At 52.0% G+C, this 25,923-nt stretch overlaps 1 protein-coding gene across 52 annotated transcripts in view, besides 1 other annotated feature; it reads right to left on the reverse strand.

Annotated features, from left to right (window-relative positions):
- SEC16A (SEC16 homolog A, endoplasmic reticulum export factor) overlaps positions 1-25,923 on the reverse strand; it is a 44,636-nt gene that overhangs the window by 2,973 nt on the left and 15,740 nt on the right. For 9 of the 52 annotated variants that reach the window (XM_047424244.1, XM_047424246.1, XM_047424229.1 and 6 more), the window contains 27 exons: positions 25,338-25,435; positions 23,880-24,006; positions 23,187-23,385; positions 22,885-23,059; positions 21,343-21,485; positions 20,602-20,663; positions 20,386-20,524; positions 19,810-20,055; positions 18,100-18,197; positions 16,965-17,046; positions 16,680-16,797; positions 16,367-16,478; positions 16,057-16,162; positions 14,367-14,507; positions 12,976-13,089; positions 12,524-12,716; positions 11,032-11,250; positions 10,351-10,433; positions 8,179-8,331; positions 5,007-5,084; positions 4,776-4,832; positions 4,492-4,603; positions 4,150-4,287; positions 3,778-3,872; positions 2,568-2,642; positions 1,975-2,034; positions 746-823 (listed from right to left, as the gene is read on the reverse strand). In XM_047424244.1, the coding sequence (XP_047280200.1) occupies positions 746-823; positions 1,975-2,034; positions 2,568-2,642; positions 3,778-3,872; positions 4,150-4,287; positions 4,492-4,603; positions 4,776-4,832; positions 5,007-5,084; positions 8,179-8,331; positions 10,351-10,433; positions 11,032-11,250; positions 12,524-12,716; positions 12,976-13,089; positions 14,367-14,507; positions 16,057-16,162; positions 16,367-16,478; positions 16,680-16,797; positions 16,965-17,046; positions 18,100-18,197; positions 19,810-20,055; positions 20,386-20,524; positions 20,602-20,663; positions 21,343-21,485; positions 22,885-23,059; positions 23,187-23,385; positions 23,880-24,006; positions 25,338-25,435 (3,301 nt within the window). Of the gene's footprint in view, positions 1-745; positions 824-1,974; positions 2,035-2,567; positions 2,643-3,777; positions 3,939-4,149; positions 4,288-4,491; positions 4,604-4,775; positions 4,833-5,006; positions 5,085-8,178; positions 8,332-10,350; positions 10,434-11,031; positions 11,251-12,523; positions 12,717-12,975; positions 13,090-14,366; positions 14,508-16,056; positions 16,163-16,366; positions 16,479-16,679; positions 16,798-16,964; positions 17,047-18,099; positions 18,198-19,809; positions 20,056-20,385; positions 20,525-20,601; positions 20,664-21,342; positions 21,486-22,884; positions 23,060-23,186; positions 23,386-23,879; positions 24,007-25,337; positions 25,436-25,923 lie in introns of all 52 variants that reach the window. The other 43 variants (XM_047424242.1, NM_001438154.1, XM_047424226.1 and 40 more) reach the window with 11 other exon arrangements.
- Positions 4,570-5,769: an enhancer, noted in NCBI's record as "MED14-independent group 3 enhancer chr9:139342099-139343298 (GRCh37/hg19 assembly coordinates)". NCBI's record gives its function as "activates an origin of replication core promoter dependent on BRD2, BRD4, P300/CBP and CDK7 cofactors, and independent of MED14, by STARR-seq in HCT116 cells {active_cell/tissue: HCT116}" and the evidence as "EXISTENCE:reporter gene assay evidence [ECO:0000049][PMID:35650434]".

Here is a 25,923-nt window from a genome sequence, read left to right on the forward strand (position 1 = left end):
CAGAGACCACGGGCTCCAGGAGAACAGAATAGCAGACGTGGCAGAGCTGGGGGCTGAATGAGGGATACACAAGTAGAAAGCCAAGCACATTTTACAAACTACAACCTAGGAAAAGGCAAAGCGAATACAGGAGCACGGAGGGCCTCGTGTCGACAGAGCTCCACACGGGAGCACGGCGGGCCTGGTGTCCACGCAGAGCTGAGCACGGTGGGCCTGGTGTCCACACAAAGGGAGAAATGGCAGCCGGGGAGGGCCCAGCCTGGCTCCTCACAGTGCCCTGTGGACTGCCACCCAGTAGGTGTGCAACTTTCATTCAGAAAAGAGAAGCTGGGCACGGTGGCTCAAGCCTGTAATCCCAGTGCCTTGGGAAGCCGAGGTGGGAAGATCGCTTGAGCCTAGTAGTTCAAGACCAGCCTAGGCAACAAGGTGAGACCGTCTCTACAAAACATAAAAAATTTGCCAGGTGTGCTGACCATGCCTGTAGTCCCAGCTACTCAGGAGGCTGAGGCAGGAGGATTGCTTCAGCCCAGGAAGTTATGGCTGCAGTGAGCTGAGATCAGAGATCGCACCACTGCACTCCAGCCTGGGCAACAGAGCAAGACCCTGTCTCAATAAATAAATAAATATATTTTTTAAAAAGAAAGAAAAAGAGGATCTAGGGCAGAAAGCTGCCATCACTGAGCAGCAGGGTCAGGTCGTCAGTGGGCGTGTTAGGGTCTCGTAGGGAAAGGTAGGAGTCACTCACCTGTGCCAGCTGAGCAGGGTTGTAGAAGGGCATGGCCCCGCTGGGAGGGCCCCCTGCAGCAGGGAGGTCGCCAGGAGCCTGAGAAGCACAGAGAAGTCACCTCAGCAGGGCTGCGCTGCACAGCAGCTGTCACTTCAAGTGCAGATACAGACACCGCTTCTGGGTGGGATTTACAGTACTTTTACATAAGCTACAGAAGCAGATCCAAGACACTTCTTGCAACACTGGATTTAGTTATTTAATGGTTCAGAGAAAAATGGTGAAAATCAAAGCAACGTGCAGAGCCAATGTTTTAAGCACCGGAACATGCAATGGGAAGGTGCACACAGCACTGAGGTGGCACCGAGCGTGCGAGGTGGTGAGGAGGTGCCCACGGCTGCAGCTCTAAGGCTCCAGCCATGACACGAGGCCCAGGGCTCTCATTTGCAGGCGGAAGGGTCGCTGCAAGCCTTTCTGCTGAGCCACGGCTGCAGCTGGTGCCTGGACAGGCAGAAGATGAAGCGTTCGTTCACCTCCCTCCCACATTGGCCGCAGGTCACTGCTGCACCCGCCCCGGCCTCAAACCAACGTTCTCATGCTTGATCAGAAAGGAGCAATCTTCCTTCCAAAGGAGAGCATCCTGACCGGGGAAACACTCACTCGGCGAGGCCACGACCCAGGCCCGTCATTGGAAAAACCAATTTGGAAAGAGCAAAATGACAGAACCCACTCATTGACTAGGACACCTCAGGGTCGATCCAGTTGCCCCATGTATGTGGAGACTGAACAGCAAAACCCCCTTTAAGGCCATTTAAAGGAACACTGCTGTAATCTCAGCACTTTGGGAGGCTGAGGCGGGCGGATCACCTGAGGTTGGGACCAGCCTGACCAACATGGAGAAACCCCGTCTCTACTAAAAATACAAAATTAGCTGGGCGTGGTGGCTCATGCCTGTAATCCCAGCTACTCAGGAAGGCCGAGACAGGAGGATGGCTTGAACCCAGGAGGTGGAGGTGGCGGTGAGCTGAGATCACACCATTGCATTCCAGCCTGGGCAACAAGAGCGAAACTCCGTCTCAAAAAAAAAAAAAAAAAAAAAAGGAACCCTGTACCCTTGGTCACGTGACGCTGAGGGAGACAACGGGCGAGGTTAGTGGCAAAGCGCACGTGGCGAACCGGCACCGCGTGCTCAGGAACACAGGCGGCACACGCCAGCTCTCATGTTAGTGAGGACCACCAGCCGCAGGTACCTGATTAAAATGCTGGCTCACTTCACGTGATAATGAACTCATTGAACTACAGCGCGAAAGCTACAAAACAGCAAGAACACACATAAAACACGGACGAAAGTCAACATGCACGTCACTGTCCAATCCAAGCTGTCAGTTCCATTTCAAAAGCTTTGTGATGCCATTAGAATCAACATAACTCAAAAGGGAAAAAAAAGCCAGTGTTAGCTTAAGATTCCTGTCTTAATGTAAAGCTGTTATCCCGAAACAACCATTAGCTTAGGGGAGGGCTGGGAGGAAAAGTCCAGCCTCGGCCTAAGCCAGCTTCACCTCCTGACACCTCACAATTCAAGACAATTCCCGTGCTGTTGAAGGGAGAGGACCGGGACTGAGGCGACAACTCAAACCCCCTGCACCCCTCCTGGAGCTCCCAAACAGTTTTGTTAAAACAAGTGCAATTTTTTTTCCCCCAGGAACACCACCTTCGAGGTGCTCTTGTTTCTAAACTGCCTCTTCCTACCCAGTACCGCCCCTCCATAAAGGAAGAGGCGCCTGGACAGTGAGCTGCTGGGGAGGCCTGGGCTGCGGGGGGCCCTGGCGTCGGCACTCCTTACCTCTCCTCCCTGGGAACCCTCAGGCCTGGAGGAGGGGAGTTCAGAGCCAGGGAGTGACGCTGCAGAGCTTAAAACCTGCCGAGGAAAAGAAGAATTGCAGCAACCAAATCCCAGGGAATTTAAGTCTCTCACACCAGGCCAAAAAATATGAAACTGTTCTGGCCTGGGTTACAAACGCCCTCTTCCACGTAAAGTGCTCCTCAGAGAGAAGTGAAAAGTGCCTCACACGTGGGTCCAGCCGCACAACCCTGTTGACTCTAGACCCCTGCAGCTCTCTACCAGGTGCCTGTGTGTGCCCATGACAGGCTTGCAATCTGGGGCTACTGTTATTCCCATTTTACAGAGGGGAAAACTGAGGCTTAGACAGGTGAGTGACTGCCCCATGCTTTACACAGCTGATGAATGGAGAACAGGATTAGGCCCAGGCCTGTCCCACCGTACAGAGTGCAGTCTGAGCTGGTTTTTTTTTTTTTTTTTTTGAGATGGAGTCTGGCTCTGTTGCCCGGGATGGAGTGCAATGGCGCAATCTCAGCTCACTGCAACCTCTGCCTCCTGGGTCCAAGCGATTCTTCTGCCTCAGCCTTCTGAGTAGCTGGGATTACAGGCACCCGCCACCACACCCAGGTAAATTTTGTTTTTTTTTTAGTAGAGATGGGGTTTCACCATGTTGGCCAGGCTGGTCTCGAACTCCTGACCTCAGGTGACCCGCCCAGCTCAGCCTCCCAAAGAGCTGGGATTACAGGCATCATCCACCACTCCCGACTGGTCTGAGCTGTTCTACTTCACATGGGAGTCATTTGTTTTTTGTTTTTTTTTTTTGGATGAAAATATACTTAACTTTTATTATCGGTAGGTAATTTCTCTGTAACTTAGAGTAATTAATTTTACTTTTTCCAATTTTAAAAATTGTAAAATATACATACTGTAAAATTTGCCACTTTAATCATTTTTAAGTTTTAAGCACATTCACCGTGCTGAGCAACCATCACCGCCACTATCCCCAGATCTCCGTCTTCCCAAACAGCTCTGTCCCGCCCGGCACCCTGCATTCTACCTTCCGTCTCTACCATACATAAGTGTGAGGCGTTTAAGGCGGAACACTCTACGTACACATTGGATACTGACTTGCAGAAGGCAAGGCCCTGTCTGGCAGGATGGGGAGGTGCCTCCTCACTGGGTACCTTTCCCCTTTCCCACCGTACCCGCTCACCTTGGGCTCTGGGGCAGGCTCTGGATTGGCCAGGCCCCTAGCTGCTGCAGGCCCTTCCCTGCCAGTCCCGTCTGGAAGCTGTGGTTCTTCTGCATCTGGGGATGAGAGAGCGAGGAGGCCATCATTCCGTCCCGAACGTCCCTGGGGTCTCACTGAAGACACTCCGAGAGGAAGAGAGTTTCACACTGCACACGCGGCACACTCATGCAGAAACAGGCAAATCAAAAAAAAAACCACAAACCAACCCCAGGCTCTCTGCATGCTGGCCAGGTCATTCTTTTAACGGGAGATTTAGGAGAGACTCATAGAAAGAGGATCAAAGGTCAGGAGACTGGGGGCTGACCTGGAGGGGCTGGTGCTCGTGCTACCTACCTGGGGTTGGCACGAACAAGTTAGAAGGAATTGGGAGTGGCGCGAGTGGAGCGACAAAGTCCGCAGGAGCGAGAGCCGGCTCGCTCCGCTGGGTCCCGCTTGGGTTCAGGACGTCAACGTAGCGAGCTCTGGTTCCTGCTGCAAAGGGGAGGGAAGCAAATTGAGGTGAACGCGCCAGGTGGCCTCCAGCTTCCAAATGCTCTGCGCTCACTGCGTCAGAGGAAAAGCACGCAGGGACGTGCGGGAAGCCACCTCCTCCCCACGCACAACAGCTACACATTGGCCTCTCTCTCTGGGACAGTTAATCGTTCAAGCAAGCTCCCACTCCAAGGCCACCCTTACCTGCTCTTCTAGAGTACATGTTCACGGGGGCTCCAGGAGGCCCTGGGAGGGCAGGCGGGGCAGCTTGCACAGTCTTGGGCATCGAGGTTGGAGGTGGGGGCGGGGCTTTCTTCTGCAGAGGGAAACACAGCTTCAGACACCCACTGTGTGCACAGAAACCCACTGGGATGGCACAGTCAGGAGGCTCCAAAAGGGGCAACAGCCACCCAAATATCACAGGGCCACATGAGGCTGTTCCCTCCACTCACACCTCACACCCAACAGGAACTAGAATGACAATTTACCTCCTCTTCTGGCTCATTTAAATTCACCCACTGGTTTTTCTTTTCATCCCAAACAATCTGCCAAGATTTTAAAAAGAAAAAAGGTCAGCAGACTGAACCTAAACAGAATTAGCATCTGATTAATGATGACACTTCAAAACTTCAGGAAACACCTACTCAGGTCTGCTCTGAAAGTGACAGAAAAATCATTACAATTCTTCGGACGTCCCGTGCGTATTTGACAGCACTCACCGATTTGTTCTTGTCATCTGGCAAATAAGCTTCTGTCTTTTTCTTTCCAGGTAGCCAACGAAAGAACCAGGATTCACCCTAAATATAAAAAACACGAGAACAACTTTGAAAACATTATGTTCCATGAAATAAGCCAGGGCAAAAAGACAAATTCTACATGACCCACTTCTGTGAGGCCCCAGAGTCGCCAGATCCACAGAGACACCAGGAGAATGGAGGTGGGAGCAGATCCACAGAGACACCAGGAGGATGGAGGTGGGGAGCAGATCCACAGAGACACCAGGAGGATGGAGGTGGGGGGCGATCCACAGAGACACCAGGAGGATGGAGGTGGGGGGCGATCCACAGAGACACCAGGAGGATGGAGGTGGGAGCAGATCCACAGAGACACCAGGAGGATGGAGGTGGGGGGCAGATCCACAGAGACACCAGGAGGATGGAGGTGGGAGCAGATCCACAGAGACGCCAGGAGGATGGAGGTGGGGAGCAGATCCATAGAGACACCAGGATGGAGGTGGGGAGCAGATCCAGACACACCAGGAGGATGGAGGTGGGGAGCAGATCCACAGAGACACCAGGAGGATGGAGGTGGGGAGCAGATCCAGAGACACCAGGAGAATGGAGGTCGGGGGCAGATCCACAGAGACACCAGGAGGATGGAGGTGGGGGGCAGATCCACAGAGACACCAGGAGGATGGAGGTGGGGAGCAGATCCACAGAGACACCAGGAGGATGGAGGTGGGAAGCAGATCCAGAGACACCAGGAGGATGGAGGTGGGAGGGAACCGGGAGTTGTTTCGTTTCAAGGAGACAGAGTTTCTGTTTGGGAAGGTGAGACAGTTCTGGAGATGGATGGTGGTGATGGCAACACAACAGTGTGAATGTACTTGGTGCCACAGAACTGTGCACTCAGAAAATGGTAAAAATGTGCATTTTGTTCTGTGTATTTTACTGTCATTTAAATAGGTCAGAACAGTAACGTGCCTTCAGGAACTTTTTACGTCTAAACACTGACAAAGCTTCCGACGTCCTCCCCTTTGAGAAGTGGAAGGCGGGCTGTCCAAGTCAGTGTGTGTCGGAGGCAGATACAGCCCTCTGTGTTTCCCATGTGTGGAGAATTCGGTTATTAGGAAACTTTACTTTATTCTTCACATGATGCACTTCATTTTGGTTTGTTAGTTTTCTGAGACAGAGTCTCGCTCTGTCCCCCAGGCTGGAGTGCAATGGCGCGATCTCGGCGCACTGCAACCTCTGCCTCCCGGGTTCAAGTAGTTCTATGCCTCAACCTCCTGAGTAGCTGGGATTACAGGCACCCACCACCATGCATGGCTAATTTTTGTATTTTTAGTAGAGATGGGGTTTCACCATCTTGGCCACGCTGATCGTGAACTCCTGACCTCATGATCTGCTCGCCTCAGCATCCCAGAGTGCTGGGGTGACAGGCGTGAGCCGCCGCACCCTGACTCCCAGAATGCTGGGGTGACAGGCAGGAGCTGCTGCGCCCGGCCTCCCAGAGTGCTGGGGTGACAGGTGTGAGCCGCCATGCCCGGCCTGATGCACTTCACTTCTACTGAAGAAAGAGGAGAAGCCTCAGCAGCTACTACACACCCTCAATTCTGTTTCTCTGTGAGTTCTACTGGCCAGACAAGCTGTCCCGGGGAGGCCTGTGATAGCCTATGCACTGGAAACCTGCTCAAGTATCATGTTTTATCTCAGAGCTCACACAAATTTGGAATTAAATGTGTGTTTATTTTCAAGACAGCAGCCATAAAAGAAAAATCTGATCACTGAACTTTATTAAAATGAAGAATGATATTTTTCATAAAATACCATTACTAGGCCGGGCATGGTGGCTCACACCTGTAATCCCAGTACTTTGGGAGGCCAAGGCAGGCAGATCACTTGAGGTCAGGAGTTTGAGACCAGCCTGGCCAACATGGTGAAACCCCATCTCTACTAAAAATACAAAAAATTAGCTGGGAGTGGGGTGGGCACCTGTAATCCCAGCTACTGGAGAGGCTGAGGCAGGAGAATTGCTTGAACCTGGGAGGCGGAGGTTGCAGTGAGCCAAGATCATGCCAATGCACTCCAGCCTGGCTGACAGAGTGAGACCCTGTCTCAAAACAAACAAACAAACAAACAAACAAAAAACCATTACAAGTAAAAAGGCAATCTACAGATTGGGAGAAGATATCACAATAAATACACCTAACAGAGGACTTATATCCATAATACAGAAAGGACTCCTGCAAGTCCTGAAGAGAACACCATTAAAAATGGAAAGGAAAGCCAGGTGTGGTGGCTACACCTGCAGTCCCAGCTACGAGGCAGGAGGATCACTTGGGCCCAGGAGTTTGAGACCAGCCTGGGCAATAGTGAGACCCCATCTTTATGGGGGAAAAAAAAAACAACGGATAGAGACTTGAACAAGCACTGCCCCAAAAGAGTGGTGAGATGGTAACAGGGACACGAGAAGGTGCCCAGCGTCACACCTCGCTGTGGAGATGCAGAGGAAGACACAATGAGATGTCATCAGCCCCAGCACAATGGCTAAGTTAAAGAACCGGCACTGCCCAGTATTGGTGAAGATGAGGGATATCCAGGGCCCTTGTCCTCTGCTGCAGGATGTGTGACTTGGGGCAACCAACCATTTAGGACAACTGCTCAGCAGTGTCTCCTAAAGCTGAACACACGCTCATCCTGCGAGCTAAACCCTCAGCTCCTTGGCACGCACCTAAGAAAAACAAGCGCATTCGCCAATAGATAGGCAAGGAGGCTCCTGGGGCCTGACGGATCCCAGCCCCACACTGAAAGCAGTCCCAAAGTCCACGGCTGGGAGAAAGGATCTGTGAGCCGGCAGCAGGCACACACCACAGTGACAAAGCAGCGGCTGCCGTCTGGTCCCTTGCGGGTGGGTCTGACAGGTAGTGGCCAGAGGCGACCTCTGGGGGCCGGGCTGTGTCCCCATGCTGACCTGGGTGGGCTATTATCCTATTATCTGAAGGCACAAATACACAGACACCCATCATGCCGTGTGCACTGTAGACACTCGGCTGTTTGTATCAGGAGGCTATTTGCATGTGTGGTGAATTAAGAGGATGGCGCTCTGGGAAGCGTGCCTCCTGCCCAAACCCTCCCGGCCGCCAGGCGCACCGTGGGCAGGCTGTACTACCTTCTTAGGTTCCTTCGTTTCTTTCTTGGCTGCCTGTCCGGGTCTCTTTGTTTCGGGAGCGGGTGAGAGAGACAGAGGTGGCTGCGTGGGACCCGAGTCGGCACGATCCCACCCTGGGGGGGCCTCCGAGTCTGGCACCGTCCTCGAGGGGGTCTGTCGCAAGGAAATGCAGAACAGGCTCTCCTGGGGCTCCTCACAGGAACCGAAAGAGAGAGGGGGATGCAATTCCCCAGGCGTGTTTCCTAAATACATCACTGAGAGGCCGGATGACTCTGGTGACCAGAGGGAGGCAGGAAGGGGGCTGGGGAGAGCAGCCCCCTGACTGGGCCTCCCAGAGCCTCTACCTGGCCTGACTAGAGAAGAGCCAGCCGCACTTAATAAGCAGCTCCGTCTGGGAGCACTCAGCACTCAGAATGCAAATGAGGGCGTTCGATGGAGATTCCGGGCTGGAAGAAACGGAGTGTGAGCATGCACTGAGGGAAGACTGGCCAGAGGGGGGCGATGGGTGTTCTCAAAGATACAATGATTTTTAAAAATATTTATTCCTGGGTCAAGTCCCAATTTTTAATAGCTCAACCCTCATTTTTACTTTTCCAGGGACACAGTATTTTAAAGGGTAAAACACCTAATGCAAGTTCAAACTATAGCAATCGCCTACTGATGGGATGCCCGTGAAGGGCTGGGTATCTGTAAAGAAGGTTCCAGAATGCGGTCTGTATAAAAGCAACCATCCCTCCTGGTTAGGAGTAGAGCAAACAGAGGAGGTATTTATACCAAACATGTCTAATGAGATAAATCTCACTTTCAGGAAAACCAGTGACAATGTTAGAAATTCTACTGAATTCCAGGACATCCTCTTGTGAGATCAAAAAATTAGAAAAGAAATTCTACTGTAGAAAAAGAGACGGCCGGGCTGGGCGGGGTGGCTCATGCCTGTAATCCCAGCACTTTGGGAGGCTGAGGCAGGTGGATCATGAGGTCAGGAGTTCAAGATCAGCCTGGCCAAGATGGTGAAACCCCATCTCTACTAAAAATACAAAAAAAAATGAGCTGGGTGTGGTGGTGGGCGCCTGTAGTCCCAGCTACTCAGGAGGCTGAGGCAGAGAATTGCTTAAACCTGGGAGGCAGAGGATGCAGTGAGCCAAGATCGCACCACTGCACTCCAGGCTGGGCGACAGAGAGAAACTCCATCTCAAAAAAAAAAAAAAAAAAAAAAAAAAAAAGAGATGGCCAGGTGCAGTGGTTCACACCTTAATCCCAGCACTTTGGGAGGCTGAGGCAGGCAGATCACTTGAGGTCAGGAGTTCGAGACTAGCCTGGCCAACATGGCGAAACCCTGTCTCTACCAAAAAATACAAAAAATTAGCCAGGCATGGTGGCACATGCCTGTAGTCCCAGCTACTTGGGAGGCTGAGGCTGGAGAATCACTTGAACCTGGGAGGCGGAGGTTGCAGTGGCCAAGATGGCGCCACTGCATTCCAGCCTAGGCGACAGAGCGAAACTATGTCTTAGGGAAAAAAAAAAAAAAAAAAAAAGGCCAGGCTTGGTGGATCACACCTGTAATCCCAGCACTTTGGGAGGCTGAGGCGGGTAGATCATGAGGTCAGGAGTTTAAGACCAGCCTGGCCAACATGGTGAAACCCCATCTCTACTAAAAATACAAAAACTAGCCGGGCATGGTGGCACACACCTGTAGTCCCAGCTACTTGTGAGGCTGAGGCACAGAACTGCTTGAACCCAGGAGGTGGAGGTTGCAGTGAGCCGAGATCGCACCACTGCACTCAAGCCTGGGCGACAGAGCAAGAATCTGTCTCAAAAAAAAAAAAAAGAAAAAAAAAAGAAAAAGAGATGTAGAAATCAGAGAAGGTACCCATTTTGGAAGAATTAAAATTAATAAGGGGATTTCATGATATTTGGGTATTTCTTCTACTTAAAGTAACTGTTTTTACACTACTGAATTCTCTCTTCCCCATCTTTCCCTGCCAGTGTTTTCACCAACTCTTCATATTTTAAGGATGAAAGCTATTTAGAAGCACTTTCACTTTAAGAAACAATTTTAGAAACAATTTCATAGTCCTCACTACCATCATCTTACAACTCAACAAGGAGTCTGGGTGCCCACTCGATGAACTTTATGGAAAACAAACAGTTTAAGAAAATGTGACAAAGTACCAGATTAGCAAATTTTCCATCAAAATTTTCTTCGCTTAGCTCGGAAAGTGAGTTTCCAACAGGCGCCTCCTGCGGCACTATCCCTGTCAACGGGAAAGAGAGCAACTATGATCTCAGTCACGAGAAGGCGGGACGTGTGTGTGGCGCACAGATCAACAGGCACACCACCTTCCCACCCAGCTACCGCCACACCAGCATGATCTGCAGAAACCAAGGCTGAACATCTTCCCACATGTGTGCACACTCTTTCATTTTTAAAACTAGGCCTATGTTTTGCTTTGTCCATATACACACATGTAGACATAGGCACAGACCAGGGACAAGATCCACCAAATCGAGTTCCAGACAGTTCATGACCTGCCCCTGTGCATCTCACCAGGCGTCCAGCAGGGCCGTCTAAAGACAGACCCCAGGAGACCCATGGCCACCATGCCCTGCCCCAAATGGCCATTTAAGCTTCACAACAAAAAGCCAAGTTACAAAAGGAACTGGCATTAACACTGCTGTTGTAGTGAGACTCTGAACCCATCCAGTCTGTAACTTCCAGAATTTCTGGTCTACGTTAAGACAAGTAATGTAAGTTGTTTCAAGCTCAAATAACTTCAATCTCTTCCACCAATCCCCACAAACACCACACCCCATGCTGCTTCTGCTCTCGAGACAGCATCTCTGCAGCCCCACCTGGGTCTGGGCTCCTGGCTTCCTGGAGCAAGTGTCTCCTTTCCTGCAGAGGTGGCACACCAGGTGGGAGGCCAGGCCCGGAGGGCTCCAGGAAGCCAAGTGCAGGCCCTGGGGTCACACAGCCAGGACCCGGCTCCAGGGGCCCCGGGGGCAGTGGCACTGGGAACATCGGCACTCTGGCAGGACTGGCCAATGGGCCGTCAGGGAGCGTCTGCGGAGCTGCATGGGAACGGTGGAGAAGAGGTCTGGGGTTACTGAGGGTAGCTTGAGTTACTGGAAGGAGCTGACACTCGACGTGTTTATGACAAGTTATTTTGTACAGCCCCATTTCTTTTATAAGGGAGGTCCAACAGAGCAGAAAGCCTGAAGCCACCACCCCACCGCACCATCCGTGGTTTGCAGAAAAGCAGAGTATCCGCTTCCTTTTCTAGGGGAGGGGCACTTGAGCAGTCACAGCGGCACGCGGGCTCCAGGGCCCGGCCCACACGCAAGCCCATGGCGGCCGCCTGGCACAGAGCTCTGCTAGGCCCGAGTCCCCTCCTCCACGGCCAGGGGTCACACAGGCCACTCGTTCATTCCTTCATTCTTCCGACTCAACATAAAACCTGAGAGGGCTGCTGCCTACCAGCACCATGCTGGGCCCTGGATGCTTCAACAACAAAAGAAATGCTGGGTCCTCATGGGGGTCGGGACAGATGAACTGAGTAAGAGAAAGCGCTAAGGACAGCAATCAACCAGGAAGTGGTAACGGTGTCTGAGGACGAAGCAGACTGGACATCAGGCAGGGAGGGTGGGCAGTGGGCCCAAATCAGGAGTGTGGCTGGTCCACAGCGTGGGAGTGGACATGGCACGAGGGCAGGAGGGCTCAGGGCCAAGCTTGGAGGGCCTGTGGCCACCGTGAGGACCCTGGCTTGTCCTCAGGTGAGATGGAGAGTCTGGAGGGTCTGGGGAAGAAGCAGGAGGCGAGCAGGAAGGAGCCCGTGCTCATCCAGGCATGCGGACCTGCGTGCAGGCCGCGCTGGTGAGGTTCACTGACGAAGGAAGCCGAGAAGCGCGAGAGAGGAGGGGGCATCTGGACTTGACTCCCTGGAGCTCTGGGCTGGCCCTTCCACCGACGGGGCCGACTGGGAGAAGCAGGTTACAGAGGGGCACAGCCGAGGGCGCCGCCCAGACACGGTGCGGCTGAGGCTCCCGGAGAAACAAGCAGGGAGGCTGAGCAGGCAGCGGGCGCTCAGGGCAGTGTCGCCAGCACATGGATATTTATGGACATGGAAAGCCATGAGCCTCCCCTCCATGGGCTCCTCAGGGGAGGAAGCATGAAGGGAAGAGGGAGGAGACCGAGGAGCCCCACAACCACCGAGGTGGTGTGAGACACTGCCTCCAACAGTCCACATCTGAAAGCAGTTCTCCAGGAGGCAAGGGTGCAGGCCATGGCTCAGCCCACAGGAAGCAGGGGCTTGTCTGAGGGCAGCAGCCGCGCACCTGGGCTCACCTGAGGGCAGCAGCCGCACGCTCGGGCTCGAGTGCTCAGGGCTCGGTGCAGGCACCGCCAGCAGAGGGTTGGCGATCCCCAGGGCTCCTGGCTGACTGAGTCCTGGCCTGTCCAACTGCTCCATCTCGGAACTCGGAGTGCCAGGACACTGCTGCGGGAGGGCTCCATCCTGATGCCATACTCCAGCCCCCTCCTGAGGGAGAACAAGACCTGCCCTGTGGAAGCCGCCTGTGGCCGCTCTGCAGCGCTGCCCGCCTGCCACCACCGCGCTTGCTGTGTCCCTACTTCAGGACAGGAGGCACTCAAAGCCCTTTCTGGGGAATTAGGGAATTCTCATAGGCACACGTTTGCAGTTACACTGTCTTTACAGATACATACTTTCAGTGTGGAAATGACAGGGACAGAAGCCACCTTGCCAGACGCCTCTGTGCCACCCCAAGCCAAGGCTGTACCTTAATCTGCCGCTCCACCTGCTGCAGGTGAACCAGCCACGTGGGTGCGGCCAAGGACTCCTCTTCTGGCTTCTCTTTCAGCTGGGGATCGAAGAGTCGTAACTGGGAAGCCATCTAGACACGGGCAAAAATCAAAGGCCCCTGTCACCACCGGGTGATGGCAAGTGAGCCGTCTTCAAAATGCCGGGCAATGCAGCTTCAGTGTTCACTGGCAATAAAGTTTAATTAGCTGCCTATATGTTTCTAGTATGTGCTTAGGTGACATACACAGCACATGGGACGCTGGGTGACTGGGAAGTTGCTGTAGACGACCTCTTGGCCCACGGGCACTGGGTTGGCAGTGCTAGGCACCCCCCTGGAACAGGCCTGGCCCGAGACTACCACCTGACCACGTGGACCTGACTCAGCAAAAGCTGGACTCCCCCAGGAATGTCTGCATGCTTTCATCGGGAATTTGGGGGATGCAGAGCGGGACAGAGGGGGCAGAACACAAGTTTGGCCCTGTGTTCGTAACCACTAAGGTGGGGGATGAGCACCTAAGGACGCATGCATGAATGACTCTCTGAACTTTGAAATGGGTCTAAAAATGTCCCTAATACAGTTTTTGGGTATCCCATGAGCACGTTCTCACAAATGGAACTACTGACAAGAGGTGAAGATCCTGATGCAACACGGGCGCCTCCCATACTCTCGTCAGTCATGCCGCCTCTGTTTTACAGGCGAAGAAACTGAGGCCTGCAGCAGTACAGCCAGGACTCAAGCAAAGGCTGCTGGACTCTGGACACTTAAGCTATCAACCACCAGACTAAATTGCCTCAAAATAAGAATATCCTGGCCGGGCGTGGTGGCTCACGCCTGTAATCCCAGCACTTTGGGAGGCCAAGGCAGATGCATGCATCACTTGAGGTCAAGAGTTCGAGACCAGCCTGGCCAACATGGTGAAACCCCATCTCTACTAAAAATACAAAAAATTGGCCAAGCGTGGTGGCAGGCGCCTGTAATCCCAGCTACTTGGGAGGCTGAGGCAGGAGCATCACTTGAATCTGGGAGGCGGAGGTTGCATTGAGCCGAGATTGCACCACACTGCACTCCAGCCTGGGTGACAGAGTGAGACTGCGTCTCAATAAAAGAAGAGTATCCTACAGGTAGTTCCTTCTGATTGTGAAACTCGCTGCCAAGGCTCTGTGCTGGCACACGGTGCCTGAGAGTTCCCAGGCTAAGACGCAAAACACGAAGCCATTCAAAGATCTTTATCCGCCCAAGAGGCAGGTTCTGAGCGCCTACCACAATGCGCGTCTGAACCATCGCTACCCCCATGCCCGGGGGCTCTGGCAAGCCCTCCTTCCCTGCAGTCAGCACAGCATCCCGAGGACAGGCGCCAGGGGCAGCACCTGCACAAGCTGGCTGATCAACACCGGGGAATACAGGTGCGGCTGCGTCAGGATGCTCTTCGCGATGGCCTCACAGTAGTGGAAGGCTTGCGTGGCCAGCCCCATTTCCGCCAGGCGGCAGGAGTAGATGAACTTAAACACCTGAAACGACAGAAGCCTTGCTGCCCTGCGGCTCCCCCGCGTCCGAGCATCGCCGATGGACAAAGCCTTGTACTGCCCTGAGGCTCCCCTGCATCCGAGCATCGCCCTGTGAGCTGTGAACTCTTCTGGACACTTCACTCATCATCGTCTCCCACCCACCACGCCCGCTGACCACAGTCCTAGTCCCTGTTCCCCAAGGGATTTCAAGAGCAAAGTAAACGACTAAGCTGGTAGCAAACTCACTCTGCTTTCCCCCCAACCCCTTTCATGGGGCCACTCGGCTCTCACAGTCACAACGCCCCAAGAGCACGGCACTGAGACCACTGCCTTCCGTGTAGCTTAAGCTGCTCCACAGACATTCTCTAGATACTTCATTCTTTTTTATTTTTTTTGACAGGGTCTCACTTTGTCACCCAGTCTGGAGTGCAGTGGCACAATCACAGCTCACTGCAGCCTCAATCTCCTGGGCTCAAGCAGTCCTCCCACCTCAGCCTCCGAGTGGCTGGGAACACAGGTGCATGCTGCCACGCCTGGCTAATTTTTGTATTTTTTTTTTTTTTTTTTTGTAGAGACAGGGTGTTATTATGTTGCCCAGGCTGGTCTCTAATTCCTGAGCTTAGGTAATCCACCCACCTTGGCCTCCTAAAGTGCTGGGATTACAGGCATGAGCCGCCATGCTCAGCCTCTCATGTATGTTTTATAGACACCACCCCCACACTGCATCAGAGAATACCGCCCTCAAATATTAAAAATAGCTCGTACGGCTGGGCGCGGTGGCTCACGCCTGTCATCCCAACACTTTGGGAGGCTGAGGTGGGCAGATCACAAGGTCAGGAGATCAAGACCATCCTGGCTAACACGGTGAAACCCCATCTCTACTAAAAATACAAAAAATTAGCCGGGCGTGGTCGTGGGTGCCTGTAGTCCCAGCTACTCGGGAGGCTGAGGAAGGAGAATGGCGTGAACTCAGAAAGCAGAGCTTGCAGTGAGCGGAGATCGTGCCACTGCACTCTAGTCTGGGTGACAGAGCGAGACTCGGTCTCAAAAAAAAAAAAAAAGCTCATACAGGCTAGGTGCGGTGGCTCACGCCTGTAATCCCAACACTCTGGGAGGCTGAGAGGATGACTGCTTGAGCCCAGGAGTTTAGGATCAGTCTGGGCAACACAGTTTTTTTCTACAAAAAATAAAAAAAATTAGTGTGGCATGGTAGTGCTGCTTGTAGTCCCAGCTACTCTGGAGGCTGAGGTGAATCACTTGAGCCTGGGAGTGATCAAAACAGTGCACTCCAGCCTGGGCAACAGAGTGAGACCCTGTCTCCCTTAAAAAAAAAGCTCATGAAAATAATTGAAATCAAATGCAAACGGAAAGCCTCAATTCAATGGGATCTTGTTTCTTAGCATTTTAGATCAAATGTCTTCTCAAGATCCTCCCCCAAAAAACTCACATCATTTTTTTCGATACCAATTCAAACAATCTAAGTAGCCAAAAGCTTGTTAGCACTGAGTGCCTGCCCAGCCATGACAGCTGCAGGCTGGCAGCACCTGCTTACCTGGAAACTAGGCAGGGGGCAGGTCTCGGCACCCAGGGACTGGGCGTACTCATAGGCTTCCGTCCTCTGGATTGCTTCGTTGGTTGCGAACTTTAAGAATGGCAAACTGTAGAGGAAGTGAATTATTTTGATTTGGAAAAAATGGCCAATTATTGGCATAGTCAACCTTGGAGCAAATCATCCAGAAGTGTGTCCCACCACGTGACAAATAAAGACATGATTCTGGCCATTTCTGAATTCACTAAAGGAGAAGGATTTTGTTTTACTTTGAAAGGAAAACTTACAGGACTACACTGACTTGGTTCTTTACCTGTGATTGGATCCGATTAAGACAAGCTTTGTAGTTTTCTTCGTGTAAACACCAAATCCCGCCTGGGCCATGAGGTAGCAGAAGTGGGCCGCATCCAAGAGGCCCCTTGAAGCTGCGGAGAGACGACACGACACACGGCGGGGGCTCAGCGACCGGGAGCGCTTGCAGAAGTCAAGGACGCGCACAGAAGGCACCAGAGACGCCAGCCGGACCGAGAAGGCCGGGTTCTGGTGATTTCTGCCAACGCCACAGACAACCGGGCCTTCGGCGCTCCATCCGCGACACCCAATGCCCATCTCCACCCCTGACCTACCCAGAGTGTCGCCCATGGTAGCCATCGTCCTGGACTCGACGTCCATGTTGTTGTTCAAGTTGGACAAGACCATGGCGAGGTGCGGCCTCCAATCTCCCCATTTCTCGTCTCCACAGCACTAACATGAGGAAAAACAAAACGAAGCCTCATCCCCGGAAGCCAGCGCCATTTCAATTCCACACAGCTGGGCTCACCAGGCACCTCACGGCCTGTGACAGCGTCACCCACGAGCAAACTCCACACAGGCAGTGGAGCCTGTGCAAGCCACCAGGCAGTGCCACTCACCGTGGACGCGGCAGGCATCCGTCCGGACATGAGCTGGTAGACTGTCTGCAGAGGGTCGTTGATTGGGAGGCTGTTAGCAAACCTAGGCAGACATAAACACAGAAAGACCCCATGCTGGCTCAGCTAAAAGAAAAAAGCCGGCCGGACATGATGGCTCACGCCTGTAATCCCAGCACTTTGGGAGGCCAAAGTGGGCGGATCACCTGAGGTCAGAAGTTAAGAGACTAACATGGAGAAACCCCATCTCTACTAAAAATACAAAAATTAGCCGGGTGTGGTGGTGCACACCTATAATCCCAGCTACTCAGGAGACTGAGGCAGGAGAATCGCTTGAACCCAGGAGGCAGAGGTTGCAGTGAGCTGGGATCGTGCCACTGCACTCTAGCCTGGGTGACAGAGCAAGACTCTGTCTCAAAAAAATAAATAAATAAAATAGTAATAAAATAAATTTTTTAAAAAATCAGCCCTAAGCCCTCTGATGTAATGATTAGACTTATATTTCACTTAGGCAAAGTACACACATCTCAATATTTTATTTTTCTTTCTTATCTCAATATTAAAAAAAAAAAAAAAGCTGTAAAAGATAAGGCCAGGTATGGTGGCTCACGCCTGTAATCCCAGCACTTTCAGAAGGCCAAGGCGGGCAGATCCCTTGAGGCTAGGAGTTTTGAGACCGGCCTGGCCAACATGGCAAAACCCACCTCTACTAAAAATACAAAAAATTAGCTGGGTGTGGTGGTGGGTGCCTGTGGTCTCAACTACTTGGGAGGCCAAGGCGTGAGGATCACTTGAACCTGGGAGGCAGGGGTTGCGGTGAGCTGAGATCGCGCCCCTGCACTTCAGCCTGGGCAACAGAGCAAAACTCAAAATTTAAAAAAAGCTATAAAAGATGAAGACTGAGGAATTCACTGAGATTTTACATGAAGTACTAAAAACCATGCAGTTAATTAAAAACTTTTTAAGCTCTCCACAACACGACCCAAGGAAGCCTCGAGGCCAAGGAAGCCCGAGTTCGTGTGGGAGCACAGCACAGTCAAGTGAGATCCGCCTGCCGCCTGCCCCCAGGGTGCGGACGCCGCGTGCTACAGGGAGCCAGCAGGGCTCGCCACTGGACCAGGCCACTGTGGGACTGTACCTGGTCATGACTCGGGCGTGTGTCCGGCTGTCCATCTTACTTGCAAGTAGCAGAGCGTGACCCCACAGGCCATTCTTCATTGCAGACTCCAAAGCATCCTGCAAAAGGCATTTCAGGGACCTTGGTGGGTTATCGGCGGCGCTCACGTGACATGAGTCAAGACAGGCCATGTGTCCTCACGCAGCAGCAGATACACAAACAACCCAAAGGCCTCAAAAACACACTTATTCACCATTTGGAGACTAAAGACACGTAGCGATTCATTATTTTCCTGAGTTTCAAAGTCCCTGTGGTAGTGGGTATTTGTAGATATTTGCTGCTTTTATCCATTTTCAGCATAAAACACAAGCACGCTAATCACAAACAGGGCTAATCACGCAGCGCTGCCCACCACGCCGCCCCATCCACTGGGAAACACGCTCGAGTCAACTCCCCAGTTCTAACAGGAGGCCTCCGCGAATATCCTGTCAACACGGAGAGTGACTCCAGTAAGGCAGCCTCCCCTTTCACCAAAATCATCCAGGGCATAATTTAGAACTTCTGGCTGGGAGGCAAAAACGTTACAGTAGAGAAAGATGTTAATAAAAGCTAACAGGTTACATGACTTCAATCAGTTATAAAACATCCATAATAGACTCATACTGATCAGGCCGGGCGCGGTGGCTCATGCCTATAATCCCAGCACTTTGGGAGGCCAAGGTGGGCGGATTGCTTGAGCCCAGGAATTCGAGACCAGCCTGGCAACATGGTGAAACCCCGTCTCTACAAAAAAAAAAAAAAAGTTAGCCAGGCGTGGTGGCATGCAGCTGTAGTCCCAGCTACTCAGGAGGCTGAGATGGGAGGATCACTTGAACCCAGGAGGTCGAGGCCACATTAAGCTGTGATCACGCCACTGCACTCCAGCCTGGGCAAGAGTGAGACCCTGTCTCAAAAAAAATTAAAAATAAAAAAATAAAAATACTGGTCAAATATGCCCTTTCTGAGTTTATCATGATATAAAAGGACAGAAAACTCTCAGCCTATCCCATGTCTCTGCTGTTCAGGGCCACACATGCTTCTGAGACTGGCCTCTCTCCTGCTTAGCACATCCAAAGCAAACATCATGCACCCTAGACAGCCCCTCCTGTGCACATAGTGTCACTGCTGCAGTCACTATGGACCCCCCAACCCCACTGTCCCAGAGCAGGCTCCTGTCTCAGGCCCCCCACCTGCCCCAGTCCCCACGCTGCTGTGACCCCAGTCACTGGACGCTACACGCACTGGCTGCTCTCTTGCCCATGGCCTTTCCATGCACTGCGCCTCTGACAGGTTCAGTGTGCCCTCCCAACTCCCAATGACTTCTGGGCTGTGGACTCGAGTCTGACTTTGTGAGAATGCCACAACTTGTGTCATGCACATTTCATCCGAGATTTGGCACACACAGCAGGGGCACGGCCTGTGCTCAACATGTGCATTTATCGAATAACTGAAAATTTAATCTGCAGGTCTCCAACACTGGAAACAGTTAGAAGGAAACCAACATTAACACCTCCAGAAGGATGGCATACAAGAGTCAGGCATTGTTCAGGAAACAGCAAGACCCGAAGCCCCACACTGCAGCGCGGATGCTCCCAAGAGGGGGCCACGTCCCTCCCTGAAGGCTGCAACCCCGCACCAGGCCCGACCCAGTGGACATGTGCAGGCGCCAGGTGCCATGATGAGGAGGCGCACCTTCTTACGGCCATACAGCAACAGCTCCCTGAACCTCTCGGTCTCTCTCTCGAGCGAGCTGGCGGCAGCCGCCGGACCACCAGTGAGGAAAGAGAGCTGGGCCTCACCAGACTCCTCCTCTTCCACCTGCTCCACTGCCTCATTCGTGAAATCAATCAGGTTTGCTTCATTGGGCGACTTCCCAGGAAGCCACACTGTTCTGTGGTCTCGTAACAGAAGCTCCGCAATGTCGGTCCCTACCACGGTCTGTTTGGGTCAACAGGAACAGGAAGGAGAACAACGGCTCTCAGGTGAGGACGCGTTGGACCACCACAGGCACAAAGCCCCACCCTGGACACAGCCAGACCCACAACTACCCGAAAGGCTGGCAAGGCTGGGCTGAAACCTCATCCCATCCCAACCGCACGTTCCCTCTCCCTCCCTACCCAGCCACTACAGTGTGCTTCCTAAGGGGGCCCTCGAGGCTCCCATAGCTGGCCACGCGGATCCCGCCCTGCTCCTTCGGGAGGCTGAGCATTCCCAAGACGAAATGAAGACCAGCAAGAAGAAACACTCTAGAAGTAGAAAGAAACATACCCCATTTTGTCTGCATAAGAGAACAATAAAATTCCAAAGAAGACTTGCAGACTCTTTGTCAATTAAGTTTTCATTCTGCAAACATTTCATAGCTTTGTTCTGTGCAAAATTAATGACATCCACCTTATGGGTGTCGTCTCTGCAGAAAGAACACACAGTGAGCAGTGATGTCTGCAAGGCCGGGCTCACAAAGAAATGCCTCAACAAGGAACATACTTGGCCAGGGGTCCCGGGAACGCCCGCATCTCCTCCTGCTCAGACGTGTGCTGCAGCAAGGCCTACGAGGAGAGGGCCGTGGGTCAGTGGCAGCCAGTGCGCAGCCACCCTGCTGGCAGGCCGGCCAACCCAGGCACGGATGCTGCCCGTGAGAGGAGAGGATGGCATGGCCCACCTGCCCCGCCCCACAGCAGGTGAAGGCTCTGTCGAGGCTGTTACATGGAACATGGCCTGTGTGGACCACAGCCATGATTTCAAACTTTATTTTAAGTAGTGAAATCCATTTTCTCTCCCCAAATACTGAGGCAGAACCCCAATACATGTGACAGAAGCCTGCAGAAGCTGCAGGAAGAGGCGCATGCCAGCCCCCGTCACCTCGGCAGCGCCGTGCACGTCCACCCCACCCGCCCCCCTCACCTGGGCAGCACCGGGCCCACCCACTGCATCTATCATTGAAAAGCACCAATAAAGCAAACATCCCCAAAACGAGGACAGAAAATGCATATACAATCAAACCACGTTGAACACCCAAGGCAGACGCTTACAATACTGACTTCTAGGAGGAAAAATATATGATCAAATAGAAGAAAAACCCTACAAATTGAAAATTCACAGGAATAAACATTTTCCAAGGACGTATGTCCAGAGACAAGGTCTGACAATTGAAGATGACAAACTGCAAAGCAGAGAGTTCCCCAGGGCAGCAGAGCAGTGACGCCACGCTTCTGCGTGTGCCATTACCTCCATGCTGTGGACCTCCACCAAGGCCGGCTGTCCTTCTGAAGGCAGATTGGGAATCACTTTGATAAGCTGACCGCCAGGGCCAAACCTGGCACAGACATGAGGCACTGAAAATTTTTCAGGAGAAGTTGGTCTTGATGAAACTGCATTTAAAATAAATTGAAAAAGAAACAATCAGCTTGTCACTGATGCTTCTGAGCCTAGATTTTCAATGTGCTCACACAGCTTAAATCACAGGTTAGATTTATCACGACAGACTTCCAACTCAAAAGTCGGTAATTGTTTAATATCATACTTAAAAGTAGAACTTCAGCATACGTCAGGAAAAGAAAAATGTCTGAATCATTAAGCATGAAAGCTGTTCCCTTGTACACTGAGAAAGCTCCCGCAACACCCTCATGAGCCGCCCTGAGGCTCCTGCCACGGTGCGTAATCCTCCCAGGCCTGGCCCACTCCCGAGCTCTTCCATTTTCACAAAATCAAATTCAGACTGCGATGACCACACAGCACCCAGCAAAAAGGACAGCAAAACACCTCAAGCAAAAAAGAAAATAAGGAGCCAGGCATAGTGGTGCATGCCTGTAATCCCAGCACTTTGAAAGGATCCAAGGCAGGAGGGCCACCTGAACCCAGGAGACAGAGACCATGACCGTGCCACTGCACTCCAGCCTGGGTGACAGAGTGAGACTCTGTCTCTTAAAAAAAAAGAAATGAAAAAATGTTAACTGAAACAATACTTTAAGAAAGTAAGGCCGGGCACAGTGACTCACACTCTAATCCAAGCATTTTGGGAGACCGAGGAGGATGGATCACTTGAGGTCAGGAGTTTGAGACCAGCCTGGCCAACATGGCAAAACCCCATCTCTACTAAAAATACAAAAATTAGCTGTGCATGGTGGCAAACACCTGTAATCTCAACTACTCAGGAGGCTGAGGCAGGAGAATCGTTTGAACCCGAGATGCAGAAGTTGCAGTGAGCCAAGATCACATCACTGCACTCCAGCCTGGGAGACAGAGTGAGACTCCATCTCAAAAAAACCAAAAAACAAACAAACAAAAAAACTCAGCCTACCATTAAATTCTGTAACTTTATATCTTTACGTATATTTCTGCAATTTGCCAAGAAAAAGCATTTGAGCATCCTGGAAGGGAACTCTGACTGACACGCGGGACAACTGCAGGAGCGGAGTCTCCAAGGGGAATGAGCAGCTCCCTCCTGCACGCCTGCTGAGCCACGGGGTCTGCGATGGGGATGTGATCAGGGGCTGCCCAGAGCCTGGATATGAGCTGTCCTCAGAGTCACACTTTAAAACGCATGTCGGGGCAGGCAGGGCAGCTCTCAGGCCTTAAACCAAACTGCAATCGAAGAGACAGCATCGGCCCGTCCTGACACACCCTGCTTCTCGGAAGGACGGATTGGGTCAGAGCCAGGCCAGGACATCACAATTCCAATCCCAGCCCTGACTCCCGTGTTCAGATGCCAGGCTGGGTGGCCGCCCCAGTGGGGTTAGCCGGTATCCCTCTGTCCTGCTGAGCACACACCTTGCTCCATGGCAGGCCAGACGGTGTCGGCAGGGTAGCCATACTCTGGGAAGCCGGGGCCACTGCTGAAATTGCTGCGGTAGGTGCCGTAGGCAAAATCGCCGTGAAAGGAGCCTGGAGGAAGCGGGGCCTCGTAGGAACCGGCAGCCACATTGTGGCTTCTGTAAATCTGACTCTTAGAAAACAAAGCAAACGGGCAAAATCAATTCCCCAGGCACAGCAGTAAAACTTTAGGTACATTGCAAACAGGATGGTGGTTCTAAACACAACCGTCCGCGTGTCTGTGAGGCGCCGCCGCGTACCTGGTGCGAGTGGGAGCTGAGGCTGCTGCGGCGGCTGGCCAGGCTGTGTGCGCTGTGCAGGCTCCGTGCCGAGTGCTCGCTGTGGACGCTGCGCCGGTCCACCTCTTCCCCATAAGGGTCTCTGTGCGGATCGGGGTCATCGTCAAAACTCCCCGTGAAGCGAGGATCGTACCTCCAGTTGTTGTCACGTTTCTCGGGCCTAGAGGAAGCCGGGGGACAGAGGCAGAGGAATGGGAGTGCCGGAGGCCCCGTCCCCATGTGCCACGCAGCTGCCCAGGAGCTGAGACCGAGACCCCTGGGGCCGAGGCACAACACAGCACACCCGACACTCAGGGCCCTCTGACGTGCAACGTTAGAGAAGTACTGCGAATGCGTCTCCAGTGTGGTCACTTCTCTGGGCTGCAGGGCGCGACCGGTAAGAAGGGACGATGAGAAAGAGTGAGCCCAATCTCCCAGGTGCTCCCAGAGGTGCTGAACAGTCCTCTTGCTGAGGCCAGTTCTCCTCTAACAGTCCAAGCTGGGAACCCTGGGAGGGTCTGCTCCCTCCTTCCTTTCAGACAGGGACCAAAACATCAGGCAGATGCTCACCCAAACTACCACAGCTCTTTGTTAAAACCCAGACATGAGGGCAGAGAAGCACTAGCGCGCCCTGGCTGCCCCCAGCCTCTGCCTCCCCAGGGGTGCTCCACCAACCTGTCCCCGAAGGCAGAGTGCTCTCTCCTGTATGCGTCATACTCTGCATCACACCAATACCTCCGGTCATAGGTGCGGGGGTCCCTGACTCTAGCACTGTAGTGGTAACGATCCCAGTGACCTGGATCTGTGAGCAAGGAATTAATGATTAATACAGTAACATGCAAAAGAAGAAATGCCTCAGATATCACTAAAGAAGCGACACCACCCCAGGACTTTATGCTCCAAGGACTCCTCGAGAAACCCAGCTTCTTCCTGGAAACCAGCACGACACCAGGAAGCCATGAGATCTGGAGGGCCCTAGCTACCTAAAGGCAACTGGCTGATTTTTCTCTCAATACAAGTGTTTTAGATTAAAAGGAAAAAATATTTTTAGAAAAGGTGCTAAAAGATTTCTTTATTAAGTCCTTTTTCTTCTTCTTTTCTTAAACAGAGATGGGGTCTTACTATGTTTCGCAGGCTGTTCTTGAACTCCTGGGCTCAAGTGCTTCTCCCACACCTCAGCCTCCCTAAGTGCTGGGATCACAGGTGTGAGCCACTGTGCCCAGCCAGTTCTCTTTCACGGTTGCTGCTTTTGACTAGTTAATCCCCTAACTGTAAATTTTACTACTATTTCTTCTCCTTAATGTGACTCATAAGGTTTTCAAAAATAATCTCAATATTAAAAGGTTACTTTAAAAGGGCTCTAAACAAACTGGATATACCATTTTCAGCAAGTGTTTTTAGCAAGTATTAAGAAAAAGTTCTTAAAAGGTCTTTTATCATCTTTTCTAAAGATGTCTTTTCTTTTTTAAATTTATATTTAAAACAGGTGCAAATATCAAAGAGGATATTTGATACTTGTCAAGGGGATTCAGGGCCCAGAGCACTAGAGGCCACAGCCAGGGCAGGAGTGACCGGAGGAGGCTCTTCCCGGGGACATGGCCACTGTGCCGCACACACTGCATGGAGGACAGATGTGGCTGCAGCTGGACGTCGCCAGGGAGCACCCAGGTCGCTGCCCGGTGGGGTGGCCCATGTCCACACCGCCCCAGGCAGCAGCTGCCAGCCTCCTGTGGTCAGGAGTGCGGGAAACACGGCTGGTGGGACCGAGGAGATGGTTTTTCATTTCACTTCCTTTTCATCCGTTTATGTTTACGAAGGCACGTGTGGACACAGCAGCTCTCGAACTGCTAGTTATGTTCCACTAGAAAATCAGAGAAATCTGCCAATATGACAAAGATGCACTCATGCTAAGATTAAGATGTAATTTAGTAATGAAAAATATCAATATAATTATTTCCAAATACAAAGTATTTTCAACTATTTTGGCTTTTGGGCAAAAACATAAAGAGATTAATAAAAGGGGACATTTCCTGGAAGTCACCAGCAGGTGCTGGCTGGCCAGGGCTGCATGTCATCAGTGTCTTTTGCACAAGGCACCTGCTAAGGCCAGCTGCTTGGAGTTCCTTGACATACCTCCATAATCGTACTGGCTGGAGTAATAGCTTGCATAGTAATCGCTCTGACTGCTCCATCCACTTTTGGAACTATAGTATCCTTCAGGATATCCTTGCCTGAAAAAACACACAGTGCTGTTAAAACACAAATTACCTATTTCTTAAAGTGTGACATCAGCCAATACAAATCATTCCCAAAGCAATGGGCATTCATCAAAGCACTTTGGTTGTACAAAAATTCCAATTAGAAGATTCAAAACAGTAGCAAGGATGAGACTGTGGAATTTCCCACCATACGGCTAATTCAAATTCATCTTGGTAAAATAACTAAGAGCCGTTCGGCTAAAAAGAACTGACCCTTTTTGTGTTCTCATTGCTGTAGCCTATAAAAGTCAATGCTAAAATAAGTCCTAGAATTTTTGATATTATGCTCAGTAGAGGACAAAATGGACTGAGCTTTCTTTTTTTTTCTTGAGACAGGTTTCACTCTGTCGCATAGGCTGGAGTGCAGTGACATGATCTCAGCTTAACACAACCTCCACCTCCCAGGCTCAAGCAATCCTCCCACCTCAGCTTCTGAGTAGCTGGGACTACAGGCACGCGCT

Source organism: Homo sapiens, chromosome 9 (assembly GCF_000001405.40).
Source record: "Homo sapiens chromosome 9, GRCh38.p14 Primary Assembly".
In the NCBI taxonomy this organism is placed as follows: Eukaryota; Metazoa; Chordata; class Mammalia; order Primates; family Hominidae; genus Homo; species Homo sapiens.